Source organism: Homo sapiens, chromosome 6, assembly GCF_000001405.40.
Source record: "Homo sapiens chromosome 6, GRCh38.p14 Primary Assembly".
Taxonomy (NCBI): domain Eukaryota; kingdom Metazoa; phylum Chordata; class Mammalia; order Primates; family Hominidae; genus Homo; species Homo sapiens.
In genome coordinates, this window is record NC_000006.12 from 150,058,054 (window position 1) to 150,081,092 (window position 23,039).

At 48.0% G+C, this 23,039-nt stretch overlaps 1 protein-coding gene and 1 long non-coding RNA gene across 2 annotated transcripts, besides 3 other annotated features; both read right to left on the bottom strand.

Annotated features, from left to right (window-relative positions):
* Positions 1-2,999: 2,999 nt before the first annotated feature.
* On the bottom strand, positions 3,000-11,068 carry ULBP3 (UL16 binding protein 3). The gene is made up of 5 exons (NM_024518.3): positions 10,926-11,068; positions 7,846-8,109; positions 7,345-7,620; positions 6,532-6,660; positions 3,000-5,298 (listed from the first exon to the last, which is right to left on the bottom strand). Exons 1-4 carry the CDS (start codon positions 11,011-11,013, stop codon positions 6,554-6,556), a joined length of 735 nt encoding a protein of 244 aa, NP_078794.1. The 5' UTR covers positions 11,014-11,068; the 3' UTR covers positions 3,000-5,298; positions 6,532-6,553.
* Positions 10,743-10,792: an enhancer, noted in NCBI's record as "active region_25271". NCBI's record gives its function as "activates an Ori minimal core promoter by ATAC-STARR-seq in GM12878 lymphoblastoid cells {active_cell/tissue: GM12878}" and the evidence as "EXISTENCE:reporter gene assay evidence [ECO:0000049][PMID:35858748]".
* Positions 10,813-10,892: an enhancer, noted in NCBI's record as "active region_25272". NCBI's record gives its function as "activates an Ori minimal core promoter by ATAC-STARR-seq in GM12878 lymphoblastoid cells {active_cell/tissue: GM12878}" and the evidence as "EXISTENCE:reporter gene assay evidence [ECO:0000049][PMID:35858748]".
* A 306-nt stretch (positions 11,069-11,374) lies between the features above and the next one.
* Positions 11,375-12,220, bottom strand: LOC124901428 (uncharacterized). The gene is made up of 2 exons (XR_007059809.1): positions 11,705-12,220; positions 11,375-11,597 (listed from the first exon to the last, which is right to left on the bottom strand). It is a non-coding gene; the product is annotated as an uncharacterized LOC124901428 (long non-coding RNA).
* Positions 12,090-12,957: an enhancer, noted in NCBI's record as "H3K4me1 hESC enhancer chr6:150391279-150392146 (GRCh37/hg19 assembly coordinates)". NCBI's record gives its function as "activates a minimal SCP1, AML or CMV promoter by ChIP-STARR-seq in naive H9 embryonic stem cells {active_cell/tissue: H9 hESC(naive)}" and the evidence as "EXISTENCE:reporter gene assay evidence [ECO:0000049][PMID:30033119]".

The following is a 23,039-nucleotide window of genomic DNA, read 5'->3' on the forward strand; positions in this document are numbered from 1 at the left end:
AAGAAACCCCCGCCCCGAAAATGGGGAGAGGGTGACACAGGGACAACCCCCCACCCCCAGTTAGTCAGGGTTCTCCAGAGGGACGGCCCCAATGGGATATAGGTATATATATGAACGGGAATTTATTAGGGAAAATTGGTGCACACGATTTCAAGGCAAAGTCCAATGGTAGACCGTCTGCAAGCTGGGGAGGAGACAAGCCAGCAGAGGCCAGTGCAAGTCAGAAAGCCTCAAAACCAGAAAAGCCCACAGGGCAGCCTTCAGCCCCTGCCAAATGTCCCAGAGACCCCGAAAGTCGGAAACTGCTGGTGCAAGTCCCAGAGCCCGAAGGCCAAAGAACCCGGAGTCTGATGTCCAAGGAGGAAGGAAGCAAGAACTCTCAGGGAACGCAAAGAGAAGCCAGAGAGCTCCACCCGCAGAGTCACCTCACCCTCTCCCGCCTGCTCTCCTCTAGCCCCGCTGGCAGTCCATGGTATGGTGACCATCCACACTGGACACCTAATATTCACCATCACAGCCCTGCAGACCACACTCTCGCCCACACTCCACCCCGACTCCATCTCTCTTCGCGCTGCCCCTGGAAGGGGTGAAGGATCCAGTCTCTCCATGTCCTCACTGTGATTATGATGACAGCCTTCCTACTCGGTGTGAGGTGGCATCTCCTTGTGGGTGTGATTTACGTTTCCCTCATGGCTGTTAATATTGAGCCTCTTTTCATGGGCTTAGTGACCAATGTATACTTCTCTGGAGAAATGTCCATTCAAATCCTTTCCACATATTTATATTGCATTATTTATCTTTATAATATTGAGTTGTAAGAGTGCTTTATAGATTCAGGATACCAGTCCCTTACCAGATATATAATTTGCACATTTTTTCTCCATGCTGTAAGCTGTCTTTTCACTTTCTAAACGGCATTCTTTTATAAGCACAGAAGTTTTACCATTGGAATAAGTCAAATTAAACTATTTTTCTTTCGTCACTAGTGCTTTGGCATACAGTACTTAAGCAGCCTTAGCCAAACCCGACGTCACAAGGATTTACTTCCATGTTTTCTTTTTTCTTTTCTTTCTCTTTCTTTTCCTTCCTTTTATATCCTTTTCCTTCCTTCCTTCCTTTTTTCCTAACTTCCTTCCTTCCTTCTCCCTTCCCTTCCCTTTCAGTTTCCCTTTCCCTTTCCCATTCCCTTCCCTTTCCTTCCTTGACAAAGTTTCCCTCTTGTTGCCCAGGTTGGAGTGCAATGGCGCGATCTTGCCTCACTGCAACCTCCACCTCCTGGGTTCAAGTGATTCTCCTGCCTTGGCCTACCGAGTAGCTGGGATTACAGGTGCCTGCCACCACACCATGGCTAATTTTTGTATTTTTAGCAAAAACAGGGTTTCACCTTGTTGGCCAAGCTGGTCTTGAACTCCTGACCTCAAGTGATCTTCCGGTCTCAGGCTCTCAAAATGTTGGGATTACAGGTACGACCCCACCATGCCTGGCCCTCCAACCCCATTCTTGAAAGCTTTTCTCTCAAAACCTAATGACCTATCAAACTTCCCCCTCCTAGTACACATTGGGGATTAGGTTTGGGGGGACACAGACATTCAGTCTCTAGCACCACATCTGTTGAGTCCTCCATGGAAATAAGGAAGCTGGACAGCCTCCTCCACACAGTCTCCCCTTGACTGCCATCGCCTCGGAGTGACATTAAGTAACTCACTAAGGCCAATGGCTGGGCTTCCTTGGGGACAGTTCCAAGGGCTGGTTCCTTGTTTGTGTCTGGGGATCCTTCCCTGCTTCTTTGCACATCTTATGTTTTTTGAGATGAAACTGAACATTTACAAGAATACAACGTGGCATCTCTGAGAATCAGATGTCCCCTCTCTTCAAGGTGTGTTGCTGCTGCTTGTTTACTGACTTTCCTGGATGGATCTTATAACATCTGTATTCCCTGTCACAGGTGGACCCTGAAGTCTCTGCTCAGTTAGGTGAGGTTGGATAGAGGTTTGCATCAATGCCTTGAGCCGGTAAGTCTCTCCTCAGTGCGGAGGGCTTTGTGTGTGTGGTGCACTCCTGCCCCTGCCGCACTCAGGCGGGCAGCTGATGTCACCACTGCAGCTCCACTTCCTGCCTGCACACAGCCTCCAGGTCAGCCAAAGGTCAGAGATGTGGCCTTCTCAGGTGCTTCCTGGGCACGTGCCGGCCCCTATGCACATCTTATTCCCCAAATCTTTCTCTCAATTTCCCCCACTAGTCTCTTGTTTGTCCCACATGCAAACGGTGAGGTTGTACAGTTGGAATGATTGCTTTTAGCCAGTGGTCTGAGGATCTGGCTTTTCCCCTAGAGAGAGACCTCAGCTGGTCAAATAATGACAAACCCAATGAATGGGGCTTTTCCAGTGAGTCCCAGACTAGTCAAATAGAGTTCTCTGGGGCAGGGGCTTTTGAGGGGCTCCAAGCCCAGCATGCCCCTCCAGTGAGTGGAGACTGTGTCCTTGCAGCTGTCACGGACATGGTGAGTCCACTGTTTTCTGGGCACAATAAATCAGGATATATTGTGCAGACAAGAAATACGAAGAAATATTAGGAGGAAGAATATAAATTTTCAAGTACGAGTTGGGAAGAATTAGAAAAAAAACAATGAGGAAAGGGGCAAGGTTGGCTTGGTTGTAGCTAACCTGGTGGAGAAACACAGCCATCTGTGATAGAGGGCCTAAGCTGTTAGGTTCCCCTCCAATGGTGAGACCACCTCCACAACCTGCCCTGTGTCCTCCTCTCTCCTGAGGCTGAATGCAGCTCTTGTGCCTTCAGTGCCAAGAATGCCACAGTCCCAGACCAGAGGAAGAGCTGATGTGGACGGTGGAAAAGGAGGGGGTGGGTGTAGAAGGAGAAGGCTGACAGCAAGGATTTCCTGAGGATAAACAAAAAAAATGTCACTTGAAACTGGCAAAAAAAAAAAAAAAAAAAAAAAAAAGTAAGGGTATAAAGAACAAGATGGAAATGGAAATCTTGTATAATTTCATTATGCAGTGTTTAATTTTAGGGTTTGGCACTTTCACGTATAACTTTTATACAATTATCATCATATACAACTTACGATTATTTTAAATGACTAGAGTTTAGTTTTTGATCTGGGTTAGCGTTCATAGTGCAAAGTTCTCTCGTTCCACTCAGTTAACCCCATTTTTTGGAGGGCTCTATGTCATTTTATTTTACTTACGAATCTTTAATTTTAACCTTTATTATAGATTAAAGGGTACACATACAGGTTTGTTACATGGGTAGATTTTGGAAGGCTGAGGCTTGGTGTCCCAATGATCTCATCACTCAAACAGTAAGCATGGTACCCAACAGGTGGTTTTTCAGCCCAGGTGCCCCTCCTGTCTCACCTGTCTAGTAATCTCCAGTGCCTCTGGTTCATGTGAATTCAATGTGTAGCTGCCACTTTCCAATGGGAACATGCAGTATGTAGTTTTCTGTTCTTGCATTAGGTTGCTTAGGATAATAGCCTCTAGTTCCATCCATGTTGCTGAAAAGGACATGATTTTGCTGTGTTTGGTGGCTGCATAGATTTCCATGGTGTTTATGTACCACATTTTTTTCATTCAATTCAGTGTTGCTGGGCACTTAGGTTGATTCTGTGTCCTTGCTAGTAAGAATAGCACTGTAATGAACATATTGGTGCAGGTGTCTTTTGGATAAAATGAATTCTTTTCCTGTGGATATATCCCGAGTAGTGGGATTGCAGGCTTGAATGGTAGTTCTATTTTAAGTTCTTGGAGAAATCTCCAAACTGCTTTCCATAGCGGCTGAACAAGTTTGCTTTCCCACCAACAGTGTCTGTTTCTTTTCCTCTGCAGCCTCACCACCATCTCCAACTTTGTGACTGGTAAGAGATGGTAACTCATTGCAGTTTTGATTTGCACTTATCTGATGATTAGTGATATTGAGCATTTTTTCACGTTTGTTGGCCACTTGTATGTCTTCTTTTGAAAAGTGTCTGTTCATGTCTTTGCACATTTTTTAATTGGGTTTTTTTTTCTTGCTTGTCTAATTGTTTAAGTACTTTGTAGATTCTGGATATTGGACCTTTGTCAGATGCAGAGTTTGCAAATAGTTTCCCCATTCTACACGCTGTCTGTTTACCGTGTTGCTAGTTTCTTTTTCTGTGCAGAAGCTCTTTAGTTTAATGAGGTCCCATTTGTCAATTTTTGTTTTTGTTACAATTGTTTTTAGTGTCTTCTTCATGAAATCTTTGCCAGGCCCTATGTCCACATTGGTATTTCTTAGCTTATATTCCAGGATTTTCACAGTTTTATTACCTGCGCAACATAGGAAGACCCAATCTCTACCTAAATATAAAACAATTTGCCAGGCATGGTGGCATGCGCCTGTAGTCCCAGCTACTCTAGAGGCTGAGTCTAGAGGATCACTTGAGCCCAGGAGTTGGAGATTACAGTGAGTGATGACTATGCCACTTCACTCCAATATGGTTGACAGAATGAGAAAATGTAAAAAAACTATAATGATAAAAAGGATTAATACAATTCTTGGTCAGTGCATGGAAAGGATCCCTGAGGTCTGAAGTCCTGCATGCTATTTTACTAGCAATACCGTTTCGAAGAATAAGGTCATGCTTCAGAGAAATGTCTGCTTTTCCACAATCAAAGAAGTAGAAAGAAAATGCCTTTTGCTGGGATTTCTTGTTCAGTTAAAACTTGTGCAGGAATTCCATCCATTAGCACCGAGAGAAAGTGGCAGAAGGTGTTAAGAAAAATGGCTGGCCGGGCGCGGTGGCTCACGCCTGTAATCCCAGCACTCTGGGAGGCCGAGGCAGGTGGATCATGAGGTCAGGAGATCGAGACCATCCTGGCTAACAAGGTGAAACCCTGTCTCTACTAAAAATACAAAAAATTAGCCGGGCGCGGTGGCGGGTGCCTGTAGTCCCAGCTACTCGGGAGGCTGAGGCAGGAGAATGGCGTGAACCCGGGAAGCGGAGCTTGCAGTGAGCCGAGATTGCGCCACTGCAGTCCGCAGTCCGGCCTGGGCGACAGAGCGAGACTCCGTCTCAAAAAAAAAAAAAAACAAAAAAAAAAAAAGAAAAATGGCTGCTGGGATCATGAGCGAAGGTAATGAGTGGCCTGAGATGTTGAGCCGACAATGTCCTCATCATCTGCTGGGGGCCTCTGGGCTTGCTAAGGCTTGAACTCCTGCTTTCCAGAAAGGCACAGTGGTGAGTAGACAGGCGGCCTCCCTGAAGGGAGAGCAGGAACCAGACCAGGCTAACAGAGGCTTCTTGATATCACCTTCCACCTTGAGGAAAGATGAAGCATTGGTTTAAGTGGCTGAGAAAAACCTGGGTCTGTTCTCCTGGGTGATCCTTCCCAGGCCCTCCCCATTTCAGAGCTTCTCCCCCAGATAAGGAACATGTTTTTCCCTCCAACCCTACCCCTGGCTGTGCAGCCTTTCCCAACCTCCACCCTCCTTCACCACACCACAGAGGCAGCCCAGGTCCTGTTACAGCCCATAGGGGCTCAGACCTGAGGCTGGTAATGAGGGGTCTGCACCCTCACTCAGGGCCTGCTCCTCCCTTTCATAGAAGGGTCTAGAGGACCTGGGGGAGCCCTGTCCAAAGAGAGGTCTCTGGATCCATGTTCCCTGGCCTTGGGTGGGTTTGTAGGCAAACCTTCTTTCTCCTTCGCTCTCAGCCTCTCCTCACCCTGGGAGCTGCACCCATAGCTCTGAATGGGACTGTCCCTGCCCTGCCCCATTCATTCCTGGCCAAGCTCAGTGGTGACCACGGACCTCTAGCAGCAGCTCAGCTGCCCTAGCTGAGTCCACTCTGCTCCAGGCAGGGCCATCAGCTGGCTCAGGATCTGGAGTGTGCACGAGGCAGAATGGCAGTGGCATCGTCCCAGGGCCTAGCCAGGAATCCCATGGGTCCAAGGGGCTCGGCCATTTCCTAAACCTCATCCTGGACACGCTCTACTCTTCACCTTCCACCTTAACTGCTGGGACTCAAGGTGCTCTCTCTGGGAATGCAGCCTTAGGAACTGGGTGGGCCAAGGCCCTCACAGCCCCCTCGTCCTGGGATTCCCCCAGGTTTCTCTCTTCTTAGCCTCCTCCAGGGACACCCCTTCCCTTGACATCCTTGGTGAAGTGGCCATGCTACTCCTCTCCTACTGTGCAGACTGCCCATGCCTGAGTTCCTGCTGCCTGCAGGCCACACACCACTACCCTTCCCAGATAGAAACCTGCTGTGAAATAGGCCTGAACTGTCTAAACCCTCTTGAACTCAACCGGCCCTGAGCCTTGATATGGGTCCCTCCCTTTCCCTCTGGCCCTGATGGTGAGAATCCATCAGAACTCAAGGTTGAGCTGCCCAGGTCATTGCAAACAGGCGACACCAGGTCTCATTCACCTGTCTCATGTCAGAACGAGAAGGTCCCGGCCATGGGGAGAGGTGGGACTCTGGAAATTCTCCTTTCCCTTCCTCCCACCTCACCCATCTGTCTCTCGTTCCCCTCACAGTTTTGCCCACAGTACCTGTCACTCTAAATGACTCTTCTCAGATGCCAGGGAGGATGAAGCAGAGGATGATGAGGAAGCTCCAGGGACTGAGGGTGGTGGCTATGGCTTTGGGTTGAGCTAAGCCTGGGGCCATGGTGGGTGGTGCTGAAAGGGAAACACAAAAGTGACAACTCTTGTCCACGCTCCAAATCTGAGGAGATGGCTCCTTAGCTCCTGCTACCCCAGGTCATCCGGGAAGGCAGAGGATTTGTCTCCCCTGCTGTGGGGCAGCCGCTGTGACAGGTCCTGGGGGTAGGAAGGGAGAAGGGGTGCTCCCTGTCCTCAGGGAGCTCACACAGCTGCTGAGGGAAGCAAGGTGACAGCACAGCCCACCCTCCTGCTGTGGCGGAAGAGGAGGTGATGCCCTAGGGCCGGGACAGGAGAGTCTCGGGGCTGCCATTCGAGGTGGTTTTGATGGATTTCCAGAAACAAACCAAGGGAGAGGAAAGGAAAAGTGATCCTAGGAGGAGGGAAATCTAAGGAGAAAGGTCTAGAAACACAATGACGCCCACAGTTTTGAGGCTGGTGAGAAATCCACAGTGAGTGGAGCAAAAGCAAGTGCAGTGAGGAAGAGGAGTCAGGAGGGAGAGCATAGGCACCCCAAGGAGGAGGCCCCCATGAGGGGTTCATGTTCTTACACTCACTCAAACACACACTCACACTCACACATACATAGACTCACACCCACTCACACCCATACACCCACACCCACCATACTCAGACACTGACAGACAAGGGTGTAACTCGATGGCATCTCCAACATGCTCCCAGTGCTCCCCTGTCAGTTACCTGTGGGTTCCAGCCTCTTCTTCCTGTGCATCAGGAAGTCCCTAAGCCAGCTCTTGCAGTCTCTCATTGAGACCATCTTGAAGAAGGTGGTCAGTCCGCTATCCTTCTCCCACTTCTCTTTCATCCGCCTGGCTCCAGCGTGAACCACTGTCCACTTTCTGTTGTTTGAGTCAAAGAGGAGGAACTTCCGTCCATCGAAGCTGAACTGCCAAGATCCACGGATGTATCCATCGGCTTCACACTCACAAGACATCCTGACCTGCAGCGTGAGGGGTCCTGCCCCAATCAGAAAGAGATCAGCCCTGGTGTTTACAAATTCTCTTCCCTGTCCCACATCCTCCTATGCTGAGACCATTCTCATCTGGTCCTGTTGTCTCCTCCAAGTCCTGCCCTTGCTGCTGGGCTTCATGGAGGTCCCATGTCTAATTTCTTCTCCCCACACACAGAACAGCCCCTGAGCCCACAGTCTGCTCCCTTCTGTCCTTGGTCTCTTTCACTCACCACTGGGTGTGAAATCCTCCAGCTCAGTGTCAGCCAGTTCCAGTCTGAGCCTCTGCCCCACCTCTCTCAGCATTTCCAGTTGTTTTCCCCAGGCATCTGTGGCATACAGCTGCTCTTCTAGGTGACCCATAGATAAGACCTTGTCACTGCCACAGTCATAGGAGAGAAAATTCTTCTGATCCACCTGGCTCTGGACCTCACACCACTGTTGCCCATGTCTGGGCAAATGAATGATGGTGAAGTTATACCAGAGAGAGTGAGCGTCTAAGGAAAAAAAAAAAAAACACCAGAGAGTGTTGGGGTGGGGGAAAGACCCCAAACACTGTGACAGCAAGAGGGTTTCCTGAAGGGCTGGGCTGGCAGAGCATGGATTTCTCTTCCTGGACGGTGGTCTCTGCCTGTGGAGGAACCATGGGTCGCTAACATGTCTATCTCCCCACTCTGCCCAGGCCTATACTCACATCCGTCAGCACAGGACCCTGCCAGGGAGGTGGCAGGCCCACTACAGGAAGAAGGACTTAGATGGCAGGATCTGCAGGAGCAGCCCAGGTGGACTGCAAGAGGCGGGAGAGTGTGGGAGGGCACCCTGAGGATGTTGGAGCGTGGTGCAGTGGGTACGATGTAGTTAACATTGGATAAGGATGAGTTCATTTATTATGGGTAACAAGACATGGTAAGTTCCCTGGAATGTGGTCAGCTGCTAGTAGGTTGCCCTTGGAACCTTGGAAAAAGGAATGACCCACACCGCATGAAACAGAAAACCCAGGTCTTACGTGGCAGGTTGTACAGGAAGGAACAAAATACTAAGAGAAGTGCCCATGCCAGAGTGACTGCAGTATGAAAATCCAGAACAATGTTCACCCTCTGTGCTCAAGGGAAGCCTGGAAGACTCCTGTTTACCTAGCATATAAAGAAGGCCCCAGGAGAAGGCAGCAGACTGTCAAGAAGCTCAGGGATGCCTGTTGCTGAAGCCCAGGGTCAGGGGTAGGAGATGCTCTTCCTGAAATGGGCTCCCAGTAGTAATGGGGATGGAAAATCCTGAAATAAGAGATCTCAAGTGGAGGCCGTCAACTGTCAGCAGGAAGGAGGGTGCAATGATGGAAATAATTAGAGAAGTCACAATGCTAGCTGGGGTCCTCAGTCTTACAAAGCTATGCCCATGGCTCATAGAACAAAAGGGTCCAAGATCCAAAAGAGATGGAGACTCCACCCGGATACTACTAGATTTAAATAATTACCACAAAGACAAAATGCAAGGATGGATGACCAGGAGGCTGAAAGTTGTCACCCCGGGAAATAACTGAGCTCCCTCGCCCAGCTTTGAGAACTGAGCCACATCTCAGACGCAGAGTCCATTACTAGAAGGAGAGCCCAGAGCCCCTGGTGGGCTCCTTCAACCCCACAGCAATTGCAATGACTCCTTCAGCCTCCCCCACAGAGCCAGATGGGTAGTCACTCTGGTAACTGTACACCATGAAACAGCAAATACTCAGACACTCCTAGTGGACACAGTGTGTGATCCGAGCTCTTCCCAGGGATGTGAAGCATTAACTTGCTCCCCTGTTACTCATGAGGTGCATTTGGGGCAAAGTAACAGATGGACTTCTGTGTCAGGTCCAGCTTAGAGGGATGTGCTGGGTTCATAGACCCATTCAATGGTAATTTCACATTTCCTGGATTTCTACCGGGAATGGATAGTGTTTGTAGTTAATGTAGTAACTATTATAGTTTGTGCTGGTCATATGACCTCCCCTGTCACTACTCAACTCTGCTCTTATAGCTGGGATGCAGCCATACACACTCTGTGATGAGGGGTGTGGCTGGACCTGCCACTACAGCTATTTGACCCTGGACTCCCTAAGATCCCAGAAGCATGTGTGGTTGGAAAAGGTGCTATGTGGATTTCATGGCTATTCCCAACCACAGAATCCAACAGGGTCCCCTAGTGCTCAGAAGCAAAGCTGTGCCACTCACAGCAGTGAAATCCCCTCATTTAAAAGTGGCTCCTGCTGTGGTCCTGGGCCCCTGTGGAGATGGGCCTCCAGCTATGGGAGGGCAGTGACCACACAGCCTCAGAGCTGCCCATCACAGGGTGTGCTCCTCACCCTTTAGGTCATTAGGAAGATAGGCCCCACAGTGAGAAGACACAGGTGGGTCTCCTGGGATGGGCAGGAGCAGGGCCACAGGGAACCAAGAAGCTGCACAAGCAGTTGGCTCTGATCCCCAGGACACCACATGGCTACACCCCCCCACCCTCAGGTCACACCTGAGGCTTCAGGGAGGGTCCCTGAATGGCCCCTGGGGACCGTTAATGCTACTCAGCAACAAAGGAGGGGAGCAGTAGGCCCCGAACCATGGGACTCCCCCTCACATTCATCACATCCACACCTCCCAGAAGCCACAGGCAGGGTAGGACACACTTGTGACTCTTCAACTTACACAACTTAGAGATGACACCCTAGGGGATGGGGCAGCAATTGCCAGGACACAGCATGTGCCCTCATCTGGAGTCTGCAACCTAGGACAGGGTCCATTTCAGGTTTCTCTTTTACTTGCAGGTTGCCATTGCCTGCTGTTGCTCTACAAAGGGACGGGACTTGACACAGAGACAGAGAACTCACGGCCAGCAAGGACCAAAGTGCCTTCAGCCTTTCCTTTCTAGAAAGGGTTTGCTGACTCCTGTCTGCTTAGTGACTATTCTATATGACGCTGGCGTCACCCATGTCTTGACCCCAGCTCGGGTTCCGGGGGCTCTGGTTTCTCCTTCCCGAGGACGAGTGGGGCTGCGGGGTTGCACCAGGGATCCCCTCCCCACCTCGCCCTCTGCAGCTTTTTGGCCCCTCCACCCTCCTGCGGTTCTTTTTTCGCCTTCTTTGACCCCCCTCCTGCTCTGCAGGGCAAGCAGCAGCCGCAGGAAGCGGACCTGGCGAAAAAGAGCAGCGAATCGGAACTGAGCGTGGGGGCAGTCCGGGGAGATCGCGCCGGTCCTTCTAGAAGGCTTCCCTCCTCTGAAACCCGCTGCAGTCCACAGCCCCCCAGGTTTGGCCCCCGCCCCGCTTAGGCTCCATCCCCGAACTCACCGGCCCGCCCCGTCCCGGACCAGTCGAATAGCAGGTACGGAAGAATCGCGAGGCGCGGAAGGATCGCGGGGCTGGCGGCCGCTGCCATTGTAGACCAGGAGCGCCCGGGACACAAGGCGCAGTCGATGTGGAGACCAGCGTATGAATCACTTCGGCCCTCGCATGCCAGCTAGTGATTGAGTGTGCTCGGCCCCGTCCGGTCCCGTCCCGCCCCGGGATCCAGGGGAGCCTACGCCTGCCCACGTTTGGAGGGATGCTCCGCCCTATCCCGCCCCGTCCCGCCCTTCCCCGCCCCACCCCAGGCTGGGACCCGGGGAGCCTATGCCTGCTGTGGCTCCGCTTCGTCCCGCCCCGGGCTCGTGGCCTGACAGCGGCCCCCTCTGGCCAACCCTTACCCTCCACCCCAGGCTCCGCGCGGGCCAGGACACGATTCCTTCTTGACCGCCTCATTTAATTTTTTAACACACCATTTATTATTACCCCAATGTAAGCACTGATGCACAGGAAAGCGAAGAAACTTGCACAGGGATATCCAGTGGCGGCTGTGTCCCCCCGTCACTGCCTCCGCCAGCGACACCTGCCCTCCTTCAGCCTGCGCCAAGGAGTCCCCGCCCCTCTCCGTCCAGGGCGCAGCTGCTTCCCAGTCCGGAGCAGACCTTCTTTGCCTCTCCACTAAAAGCATGAGGAATATATAGAATATATATAGAATAAAGTATATTCTATATCCCTTTATGACTTCTGGGAAAAAAAAGAAAGAAAAGAAAGCCCTAGTGGCCTACCGTGATCAGTGATCAAATGATCAATTGTGTTTCCATGGAGAGCAGAAGCCGAGGGAGGGTCTACGCATGCGTGGGGCTCACTTTGCTGTACACCCATCTGTGGCCAGCTACACGCAAATCCATGGCTGCACGCGCATCTCTGCCCTGTCCCTGGATGGTGACTGCAGCCATCCTCAAAGCGGCAACCCGAGTGTATCCTCGTCTCAGTCACCATGGAAACATCTAGATCTGTGGGCAGAAGCCAGAGGGAGGTGATGGGCCCAGTGGCCCTTGGCCGCAAGGGAGGGCTTTAGCCTGGGATGAGGAGTGGACAGAGATCTTGAGTGCCACTCAGGCCCCAGCCACTCAGCCCATTCCCTATTGAATGAGAAAAATCGGCACAGACCTCCCACTCCGTACAGTCTTCATGTTGGGATCACCTGCACCTGGTGATCATCAATCCCGAGGGTCCTGAGGCTGTGGGAAAGAGGAGGAGGCCTGGACAAAGCCCAGGGCCTGTTTCTGCTTCAGGACAGAGTCATGGGAGGGCAGCCACCTCTGTGACTGAGCAGGGACACAGGAGCCTAGAAGATTCTGGCCTGATGCACTAGAGCCCCTGTGCAGGAGGGGCCATGTGGAGGGTAGTTTGGAGGACAACAGACACACAAGGGTGGGCAGTTCTCAGATTTGGGAGGGGCAGAGCTTGGCGGGTCCCAGGATCTGTGTGTGAGAAGAGCCTCCCATGTACAGGGCTGGGGGCAGGAGCCCAGGTTAGTCCTGGGAGGAGGCCTCTGGGAAGGCCCTGGCAGCACCACCCCGAGGCCAGGTGACCTGGGCCAGTGACTGGGGGAACAGGAGGAAGGTAGAAGGAGGCTGGCAGGAGAGCCCCAAGCAGGACAGGAGGAGGGGCTTTTGTGCACACCTGGGCCCTCCTGACTCACCCCTGCTGCAGGCATCTGGCCAACAGACTCAGGCCTGCCCAGGATGGGGATAGAAGTGGCCCAAATGTTATTGTAATGGCCGGGATCTAGAGATCATGCATTCAGATATGGAAGTCAGCTGATATTGTGGCTGAATATTCCTGTGCAAGCTTCTTCAGCTTTCTAGGAATGGATGTCTGCATGTGGAAAATGACAAATGCTATGAACACAGATGAAATGAGCAGATTCTACAAGGAACCCTGTCCTTGCACATGCTAAGGACCCAGGGCAGGTCTCCTATTTCAGTTGTGAGGCCTCCAGCTCTCCCTGAAGTCAGCAACTGCCAGGCCCACCCTGAGGAGAGCTGGATCTCTGAGCCCAGGCCATGGCCTCTTCATGGCCCTGGGGGCGCTGTGATGGGGAGGAAATGAAAACAAGACCCACCATCAAGACTCAGGCATGTTTTTCAGACCCACAGAGGATGATTTTTCTCTCCATCACCTGGTGAGCCTGACGTGATGTAAGGGTGGTTGGAAGCTGAGTGAACCAGTGAATGAATGAGACAGTTGTGGGAGTGAATGGGACTCAGAAGAATAGCACAGGTTCAGAGGGGAGCTGGAGCGGAGGTTGTAACCCCCAGCGGCCTGAAGGTGGCAGCATCGAGGTTGGTAATTTTTTTTTTTTTTTGCCTTTTTTAGTTGTTGGGTTTTATTTGTTGTTTTCCGGTTTGTTTGTTTTTGAGACAGTCTCACTCTGTCGCCCAGACTGGAGTGCAATGGGACGATCTCAGCTCACTACAATCTCTGCCACCCGGGTTCAAGCGATTCTCTTCCCTCAGCCTCCCGAGTAGCTGGGATTAGAGGCACCTGCCACCACCCCCGGCTAATTTTTGCAATTTTAATAGAGACAGGGTCTCACCGTGTTGGCCAGGCTGATCTCGAACTCCCGGCCTCAGGTGATCTGCCTGCCTCGGCCTCCCAAAGTGTTGGGATTACAGGCGTGAGCCACTTCGCCTGGCCCCAACTTGGAAATTTGAATCTCCACCTGGGTGTCCACAAAGATTTTCCAAGGAAGAGTAACTTTGGTTTTCAACCAGTCTGGGGGGTGCTTCATCAGGATAGAATCTTCTAGAAAACATAGTGTGATGACGGACAGCAAACTGCTGTCTTCAGTTGGTTTGACTGAGCCTAGAGTGCACCAGGGCCAGGAAAATCTTGTCTTTTTCTTGCCTTTTTTTTTTTTTGAGACGTTGTCTCATACTATCGCCCGGGCTGGTGTGCAGTGGTGTGATCTAGGCTCGCTGCAACCTCCGCCTCCCGGGTTCAAGCGATTTTCCTGCCTCAGCCTCCTGAGTGGCTAGGATTACAGGCATCCCCACCATGCCCGGCTAGTTTTTTGTATTTTTAGTCGAGATGGGGTTTCACTATGTTGGCTAGGCTGGTCTCGAACTCCTGATCTCATGATCCGCCCGCCTTGGCCTCCCAAAGTGCTGGTATTACAGGCGTGAGCCACCGCGCATGGCTGAAATACTTGCCTTTTAAGCAAAGAAAGAACGAGTCTGAAAGTGGGAATGGAAATGGGAAAAGATAACCGGGCCAGGAGGAAAGAGGAGAAAAGAAGGGTTGGGGTCTGAGAGGTAGCAAGGATTCAAGCATTTCCTGCCCCATGGCCTGGAGTTGCAAGTGGGCGGGGCAGGGCTACTGGAGCTGTGACAGCCTTGAGGGCCAGGGTGACTCACGCAGCGGCTCTCTGCTTCCTCTGGGTGTGTCACACCCTGGGCTCCTGGTCCCCAGTGGCACAGGTGCTGGCGCGAAGTTGGGTGTTTGCCTCCAGCCTCTGCTCCTGCTGCCAGGCTGGTCCAGGGCAGGTTGGGGCGGGGCAGTGAGTTCTAGGGCTGGACCCTAAGCAGGGGTGTGGGCAAATATGGGGGTCTTGGACTGCAGGGGGTCAGGAGAGGGGAGGCTTCTGGAAGTTCCTGAAGGTTGCCCTGGGATTTAATGCGACATTGCTAGCTAGAGCCAGCTTGGCATGGGGAGAGCGATGCGAGACTGATGAAAAGCGTGCAGCCTGATTTAAAGCCAAACCCTGAGTCCTTTCTAAGAACAATAAAGCATATTGTAGTCGCTAAAAGAAACAAATACAAAAAAAATTAAAAAGTAGCCTTTCTTCGCAGATACAGCACGTTTTATTTTTAATCTTTACATTTAACATTGTCTTTTGAAAATAGTGTATATTATTTGATATTTTAAAATCCAACCTGGGAGTTTCAGTGATTTATGTGATAAGTTTAGTAGTTCACTTTTATTGTAATTACTACTGTTTAGGATTTAGCTCTGCCATCTTTTTTATTTATTATTTATTTATTTTTATTTATTTATTTTTTCTCTGTCGCCCAGGCTGTAGTGCAGTGGCACGGTCTCGGCTTGATGCAAGCTCCTCCTCCTGGGTTCATACCGTTCTCCTGCTTCAGCCTCCCGAGTAACTGGGACTATAGGCGCCCGCCACCACGCCCAGCTAGTTTTTTTTTTTTTTTTTTTTTTTTTTTTTGTATTTTTAGTAGAGACGAGGTTTCACCTTGTTAGCCAGGATGGTCTCAATCTCCTGACCTTGTGATCCACCCACCTCTGCCTCCCATAGTGCTGGGATTACAGGCATGAGCCACCGTGCCCAGCCTATCTATTTATTTTTTTTAAGATATGGGGTCTTCCTCTGTTGCCCAGGTTGGAGTGCAGCCGCGTGGTCATAGCTCACTGCAGCCTCTAACTCCTGGGCTCAGGCCATCTTACTGCCTCAGCCTCCGAGTAGCCAGGACTACAAGCATGCGCCACCCACTGGGCTAATTTTCTATATTTGTCTGTAGAGATGGGGTCTGCCTATATTGCCCAGGCTGGTCTTGAACTCCTGAGCTCAAGCGATCCTCCTGCCTTGGCCTCCCAAAGTGCAGGGATTACAGGCGTGAGCCACTGTGCCTGGTGCACATGTATTTATTGTGTTTTTTATTGCTGGCATTTCCCCTCCGTAACTGTGTTCTATTTAGTATACTGAGGGTTTTTTTTCTGTTGGTTTAAAAGTTATACATTCTAGTTTTCTTCTCAGGGTGGCTGCCCTTAACCTATGACTCATACCAATATGTGTCACATTTATTGGTATTATTGGTTTTGTTTTATTCCTAATTTTAGAAGTCTCAGCATGTTTTCCTATCCCTTTCGTGTGCCACCTCCAGCCCCATTTTCCTGATATCTTTCCTAGCTGTAATTCTCGGTTATTCTTAGCTACACTTCTTTGTTTCTGTGATCCTAACTTCACATTTCCCCTTGTTGTGAAATAACAGTAATCTGGAATAGATTCCTTAGTCACTTGTCCTCCTCGGTTCTCTTGTCGTATCTCCTGTGTTTCTCTCGCTATTGAGGTAACTTCCTCTAAACTATTTCCAACTTGGATCTTTAGGAGGCAAATATCCTTCAAGTTTTCTACGTTTTGAATATTTCTAATACACTGTGGTGGGCAGGATTCGGCAGCTGTCCCTTCAAGTTTCCTGTACCTTTCTAGAACAATATGTTCTAGAAAACACTGATGATAGGACAACTAACGGCTGTCTTAGCCTGTTTGTTTGAGCCTGGTGCATACCAGCGGCAGGAAAATCCAGTATTTTAAGCAAAGAAGGAATGCATATGAAAGTGGGAATGGAAATGGGAAAGGAAAGGGGACAAGGAAGAAGGGGATGGAGATAATAAGGGGTGAGGGCCTAGAGAAACCAGCTGCTCCTCGTCTAGGCACCGCTAGTCTAGGTACTGTGAGTCTAGGTACCACTAGTCTGGGCACTGAGAGTCTAGGTACCTCTAGTCTAGGCTCTGCACAGTCATAATTAAAGCTACTCATCAGTTGACCTTAAAATAGAGAGATTTTACTGGATTCTCTGAGTGGGCCCAGTGCCATTACATGAGCTCTAAAAAGCAGAGAATTTTCTCAGGCTGGAGCCAAGAAATATGCGTCTAATGTCAGAGAGATTCTAAGCATGAGAAGGATTCCATGCACTGTTGCTGGCTCTGAGATGTGGGGGCCATGAGCAAGACTGGAGAGGGGCCTCTGGGAGTTAGGGAAGGGCTGCAGCTGACAGCCTGCAGGGAAGCTGAGACCTCAGTCCCACAGGTCCAAGGACTGGATTCTGCCAGCAACCTGAGTGCACTTGGAAGCAGATACTTCCTAGAACCTCCCAATCAGAGCCCAGCGGGTGGACACCTTGACCTTGACCTTGAGGAACTGGGAGCAGAGAAACAAATCAAGCCATCTCAGACTTGCAACCTAGAGGACTGTGAAATAATAAAGATGTACAGATTTAAGCAGATAAGTATGTGGCAATTTGTTATAGCTGCAACAGAAAAGATATCTTCCTGTTTAAATGAGAATTTGACTGGATATAAAATTCTAGGCTGAAGTTCTTTTCCTTCATATTTTAGAAAGAATACTCCATTGTTATCTTGCAACCAGGGTTGCTGTTGTGTAGTCTGAGAGCCAAATGTTTCCTTCTTTCTTCCATTGTTTCTCTGGGGTAATATGGGGGAGGGAGCCAGAAGCCTGAGATTCTTTCCTGTCTTCATCCAGTGGATTTGTACCGTTCCAGGCTGTTAGTCACAGTCTCAAAGAGGTGGAGAATGGTTTCTAGTTTAACCTACCTTTTCATAGAAGCACTTGTAGATTGGACAAGTTTATTGGTTTTCTCTTATTCGACTACTGCTAGTCTTCTCTCCTTCTATCTTTTATAAATATTAAATTTATTGAGATGTAATTTACAGACAATACTCCTTTGTGAACATAGGAGCTTAAAGTCTCTTATCTTTGGGAGTATATTGAAACATGTAGGCATTTGGCCATATGATAAGGCATGTTCCCAAGCTATAAACATTAAACAGATGAATGATATTACTTCAGTCATGAATCATCTTACTAACATGCCAATTCTGTAGAAAATCACATTTCTAGCAGTGCTTGCTTCAGGTTTGCAGGAGAGAAAAACAACAATGTTTTCACTGGACATTGGCTTTTAGACAAAATGAATGCTAGAACTCTATTAAATTCATTTTTACTTCCTATCATTTCTATATTTTATAGATTTCATAAAATCGGCCCACAGTCTTAAATTTATGATAATTGTAATAGATATCTTAGTAAAATACCCAATCTCTTTCAGTTACTGGAAACACTTATAAATTCTAGGCTTTAACAACAAATAGCACATTGTAGAACAGCAGTGTCGTTTAAAAACTGAACTTAGTTGAGTTAATCAGACGTGACAGGATATTTTATGACCCTAACAGAAGCTTAATGAACAATGTTGAATAGATTTCAATACTTTTTATAATATATCTAAACTGTGTCAATTATGGTAACACTGCCTTTGAGAAGAAATCATCAGTTTTGGATTTAACATACAGGATGGCACCCTAGAAAATGTTAAAACGTCAGGAGAATTGTACCTTTAAGAGTGGAAATGAGTAATGAAAATACACATTACCAGAGTCACCTCCTGGGATGCCTGGACATTTACTTGGGATTTGAGCATTTTTCTGCCTAGAAACGGCAAAACTGACTGTTTAGCTGTAACTGGCAGGCACCACGTGCCATAGCAACAACAGAGCAAGAAAACCAGGAAAAGCTTTTGCTCAAAATAAAGTTATTTCAAATCTTGTTTTCAAAGCTTTTTTGCTGAGGTGCCTCTTCCACCCAAGAAACTAACAAAGAGCCACAGCAGCACCAATGATGACCAGCGAGAGCAGCACTGTGCATGTAAAATCCAGTAAAGCACTCTGCCCCGAGGATTCATCACTGCAGCTTTCCTAAGGGTTAGAATGTTTTCTACCTGACTGATCCGGGAATGTGCAAGCCAAAAAATTAACAAAAATGATCCCTGGCTTGTGGAGATCCACAGGCATTGAACAGAATCAAACATAATATCTCTGCAGAACACAACCTCACGTAGGCAACAGAGGTTTCCTGCAGTAAGAAAGCCATGCCACAAAAAGCTCAGAAACCTACAGAATGTGTCGAGTCAAACCACAGTAAGTGAGTGAGCCAATCCCACAGAGTAGGTTCGGCCCTGAAGAACTACAGATATTAGAACTACAAAGAAAATAGTAAAATATGTATCCTTAAATCATTAAAGACATAATAAAACACACTGCAAATATTGAGACATTGTCAAAAAAGACTAGTTGTATCTAAAATAGAAAAAACCAAGCAGCACTTACAGCAATGAAAAATATGTTAATTAAAATTTGAAACTCAACACACTGATGAAGCAGCATATTAAATAGAGGATGAAGTCACTGAACTGGATGGATCTGAAGAAATCATTCAAAATTTGGTAGAGAGAGAGTTTCATGCTGAAACTGCAAGAGAGAAGTGTAAAGATATGGATGTACAATGAAAAAGGCCAACCTGCCTCTAACTGGACTTCCAAAAGGAGAGCAGAAAATGAGGGAGAGGAAATTTTCAAAGAGCTAATGGCTAAGAACTTTTCAGATTTTATGAAAGACATAGATTCTCAATTTTAGGAAACATAACAAATCTCAATTAGAATAAATAAAAATAAATTCACTCCTAGGTGCATTGTGATGAAATTGCAGAATATCTTAAAGGTCGTCTTCAAGAAGAATATCTTTGAAGAGAACAACTTAAAAGAGAAAAATTTAAAAGCAACTGTTGATAAAATACAATCAATAGGAAAGACAATTTGATAACAGCCTCCTAGCCAGTTTTTAAAATTTGCAGCCATTGTCTCTCAAAATATGCCTTCTGTGTTGTCTTTTACCTGTGCTTTTAGGATTCCAATTAAATGTGGGGTGAACCATTCCATAGTGTCTGCCACAGCAGCTGTGGCTTCTGAATTTTACTGTCTCTTCTAAATTTTTCTACCCTTCGGTCTTCCTGTACTGCATTCCAAATGGTTTCTCTTGACCTGCCTTCCAGTTTACACTTCTCTTTTCAGCTCTGTCTAATTTGCTATTAAAGCCATCTGTTGAGTTCTTCATTCCAGTTATTTAGTTTTATACTTATAGATTATTCGATAGCCCATGTATCTTACATTTGAAGTAATGAATTTTTTTCTGTTGTTTTTTCATTTTTTTAAAGTTATTGAAACATAGTAAGCATAGTTATTTTTAAATCCCTGCCTGATAATTATTTTATTTTATTTTATTTTTGAGACAGAGTTTTGCTCTGTCTCCTGGGTGGCCCGGGCTGAAGTGCAGTGGTGCCATCTCGGCTCACTGCAACCTCTATTTCCTGGGTTCAATTGATTCTCGTGCTTTAGCCTCCTGAGTAGCTGGGTCTATAGACGTGCCCAACCACACCAGCTAATTTTTGTATTTTTAGTAGAGACAGGGTTTCATGATGTTGGCCTGACTGGTCTTGAACTCCTGGCCTCAGGTGATTCTCCCGCCTTGGTCTCCCAAAGTGCTGGGATTATAGGCGTGAGCCACCACACCTGGCCAGATAATTCTTAAATCTAAAGTTGCGAGGTCTAACCCAGCAGTTACTAGCTACATGAGGCTATTGAAAGGTTGAAATGTGACTACTTTGAATTGAGATGTACTGTAGTATACGGTGCACACCAAATTTCAAAGGTTTAGTATAAAAATGTCAAATGTCGGCCAGGTGCAGTGGCTCACGCCTGTAATCCCAGCATTTGGGAGGCCGAGGCGGGCGGACCACGAGGTCAGGAGATGGAGAACATCCTGGCTAACACGGTGAAACCCCGTCTCTACTAAAAATACAAAAAATTAGCCGGGTGTGGTGGTGGGTGCCTGTAGTCCCAGCTACTCAGGAGGCTGAGGCAGGAGAATGGCGTGAACCCGGGAGGCGGAGCTTGCAGTGAGCCAAGATCGCGCCACTGCACTCCAGCCTGGGCGACACAGTGAGACTCTGTCTCAAAAAAAAAAAAAAGTCAAATGTCTAATTATTCATTTATCTATTGATGACATGTTGAAATAATAGTTTTGGTTTAAAAAATGGAGTTAAAACATATTGAGTTAAAAATATTGTAAAAATGTATTTCATCTGTTTCTTTTTATTTTTTCAATAAAAATATTGAATATTCTAGTGAACAATAAAAATATTGTTCACTAGAATATTTAAAATTCCCTGTGTGGCTCACACTTGTGGCTTGCATTATATTTCTATCAGAGGACTGATCTAGAGGTTCCATGTATCTTCTGTCTCTGTTGCACATTTCAGCTGGTTCTCATTTTTGCTATCTTATCTCCCTATGTGGTTGGTTATCTTTGTCTATGTTCTGGATACGATGTTTTAAAAATTGCTGTTGACAGAATATAAAGTGTAGGATGGGCTGGCCATAGTGACTCATTCCTATAATCCCAGCACTTTGTGAGGCTGAGGTGGGGCAGATGGCTTGAAGCCAGATGTTTGAGACCAGTCTGGGCAACATGGTAAAACCTTGTCTCTAGTAAAAATACAAAAATTAGCTGGGCATGGTGTCATGCACCTGTAGTTTCAGCTACTCGGGAGACTGAGGTGGGAGGATCACCTGGGCCTGGGAGGTGGAGGCTGCTGTGTGCTGTGATCGTGCCACTGCACTCTAGCCTGGGTGACAGAATGAGACCCCATCTCAAAAAAAAAAAAAATAGGATGATATTACCTTCCTCCAGAAATGAATTTCATTTGCTTATATCAGGCACTTTGTAGCTATAAAATTGCTTGAATTTTGCTGCAGGAATTGAGATATTTTGGGACATTCAGAAGCCTTGAACCTGGACTGCCTTCTGTTTGAAGACTGGTTGATCTTCAGTCCACCTTTACTCCGAGGGTCCAGTCCCACTCTTGGCAGACTCTGGACTCCAACATCTGTTTGCATAGCCCCATGAAGCCATCCAAAGCCCATGTGAGCCACTAGGATCAAAAGGCTGCTGACTCTTTACCACATCACTACTGCCACAGTTAGGAAGCCACCAAGACAAGGAAGGAATCCATCCATAATCAGAAACCTACCACCCTCAGAAGCCACATCCGCTGTTGCCTGCTCCAGACCCCACTGTGCCTGCGAAGATTTTCAGCTTCAAAGTGGATGCCACGTGCCCTGCTCTCAGCACCTCAGAGCCAGCGACCAGAGCCCAAGACCTCAGCTAATGCTGCCCAGAAACCTGAATATCTCCCCTGCTGGGCTTGGCAGCAAGAGCAGCAGATGCCTGGTCCCTGCTGCAATTCCCCCACATTAGAGTGACTGAATCTGCACCACATCCTGACTCTGGTTGTAAAGGAGTCTGGGAAATGTAGTTTTTAGCTTTCCTGTTTCTGTAGTATAGGAAGGCACAGCAGAAAGCAGGTGAATGGATTTATCCTTCCCCCATCTGCCCTCCAAGTACATACAATTATAATACCATTTGGTTTAAGTTTCAAAATATGCAAAATGATACCATATCTTGCTTACTGATATATCATACACGTGTAAATTCATGTACATCCATACACCTGTATCCATGTATCTACATATGTGCATATCCATATCTAAGTATACAATTGCCACAAAGACAGTAAGATCAGTAGTGGTTTCAAGCACCGGCCCTGCAGTCAGACTGCCTGCTTCAAAACCTGTGTTTGTGTGACATGGAGCATGCACGTTTCCTCAGTCTTGATTGCAAAGCTTATGCTTCTCTGTGTGTAAAATAGGCATCATGATAGTACCCACCTCAATATATTGCTGTGGGCCTCAAATAAGCCAATGCCTGTAATAGACTTAGCATGGTGCTTGGCTCGTGGTAATAAATACTCAGTGAATTGTAGCTCTTTCCATCATAGATAGCAGAAGGCCTAGGTGGTCAACCCAACTCACTGTATCAGCCTGACAAGCCACTTAACTCCTCCGGGTGTTCATTTCTTGTCTTTCAGATGAGGCAGTTGCCCTAAATGAGGTGAGTTCCTAAGCCAATGTCTCCAGGTCCTTAGGGGAGAGTGAGGTTATTTCCTTGGCATTTTATGGTGGGCATTGGAGAATCTGGCTTCCAGAGTTTTTATTGTTATTTTTTTCTTACAAACTCTTGTCGTTCTAACTTATCTCTAGATGCTACCTGAGAGAAACAGAAGATAAAACTACCACCAGGACGCACCAGCAGCATGACACAGGGCCAGTGACTTCGGCTGCTAAAATCAAGACGTACACCAGAGGGCGCTGCAGTTAAAGAGCGAGGCAGAGGTGAGCGGGCTGCCCGGGTCCAGTCTCCTAGGGTCTAGAAAAGCTATGAGCACAGGCCTTGGGGAGGCGGTAGGAGGACCTGAGGCTTCCATGAAAACCAAGGGCAAACATACTGTTTCATTCAGGCTTCGGCTACCTGGATGTGTGTTCCTCGGGAGAGTGGTTGTGTGTGGTTTTCGCACACCGATATGGATTGTTCTTATAAAGCTGAAAGGGCCACGTTCATAAAACA

Coding starts and splice junctions, on each gene's coding strand:
- ULBP3 (NM_024518.3), bottom strand. CDS start 11,013: ATGGCAGCGGCCGCCAGCCCCGCGATCCTTCCGCGCCTCGCGATTCTT. Junction 8,110..10,925: donor GTCCGGGACGGGGCGGGCCG/GTGAGTTCGGGG, acceptor TTTTTTCCTTAG/ACGCTCACTCTCTCTGGTAT. Junction 6,661..7,344: donor GAAGAGGCTGGAACCCACAG/GTAACTGACAGG, acceptor TTTCCCTTTCAG/CACCACCCACCATGGCCCCA.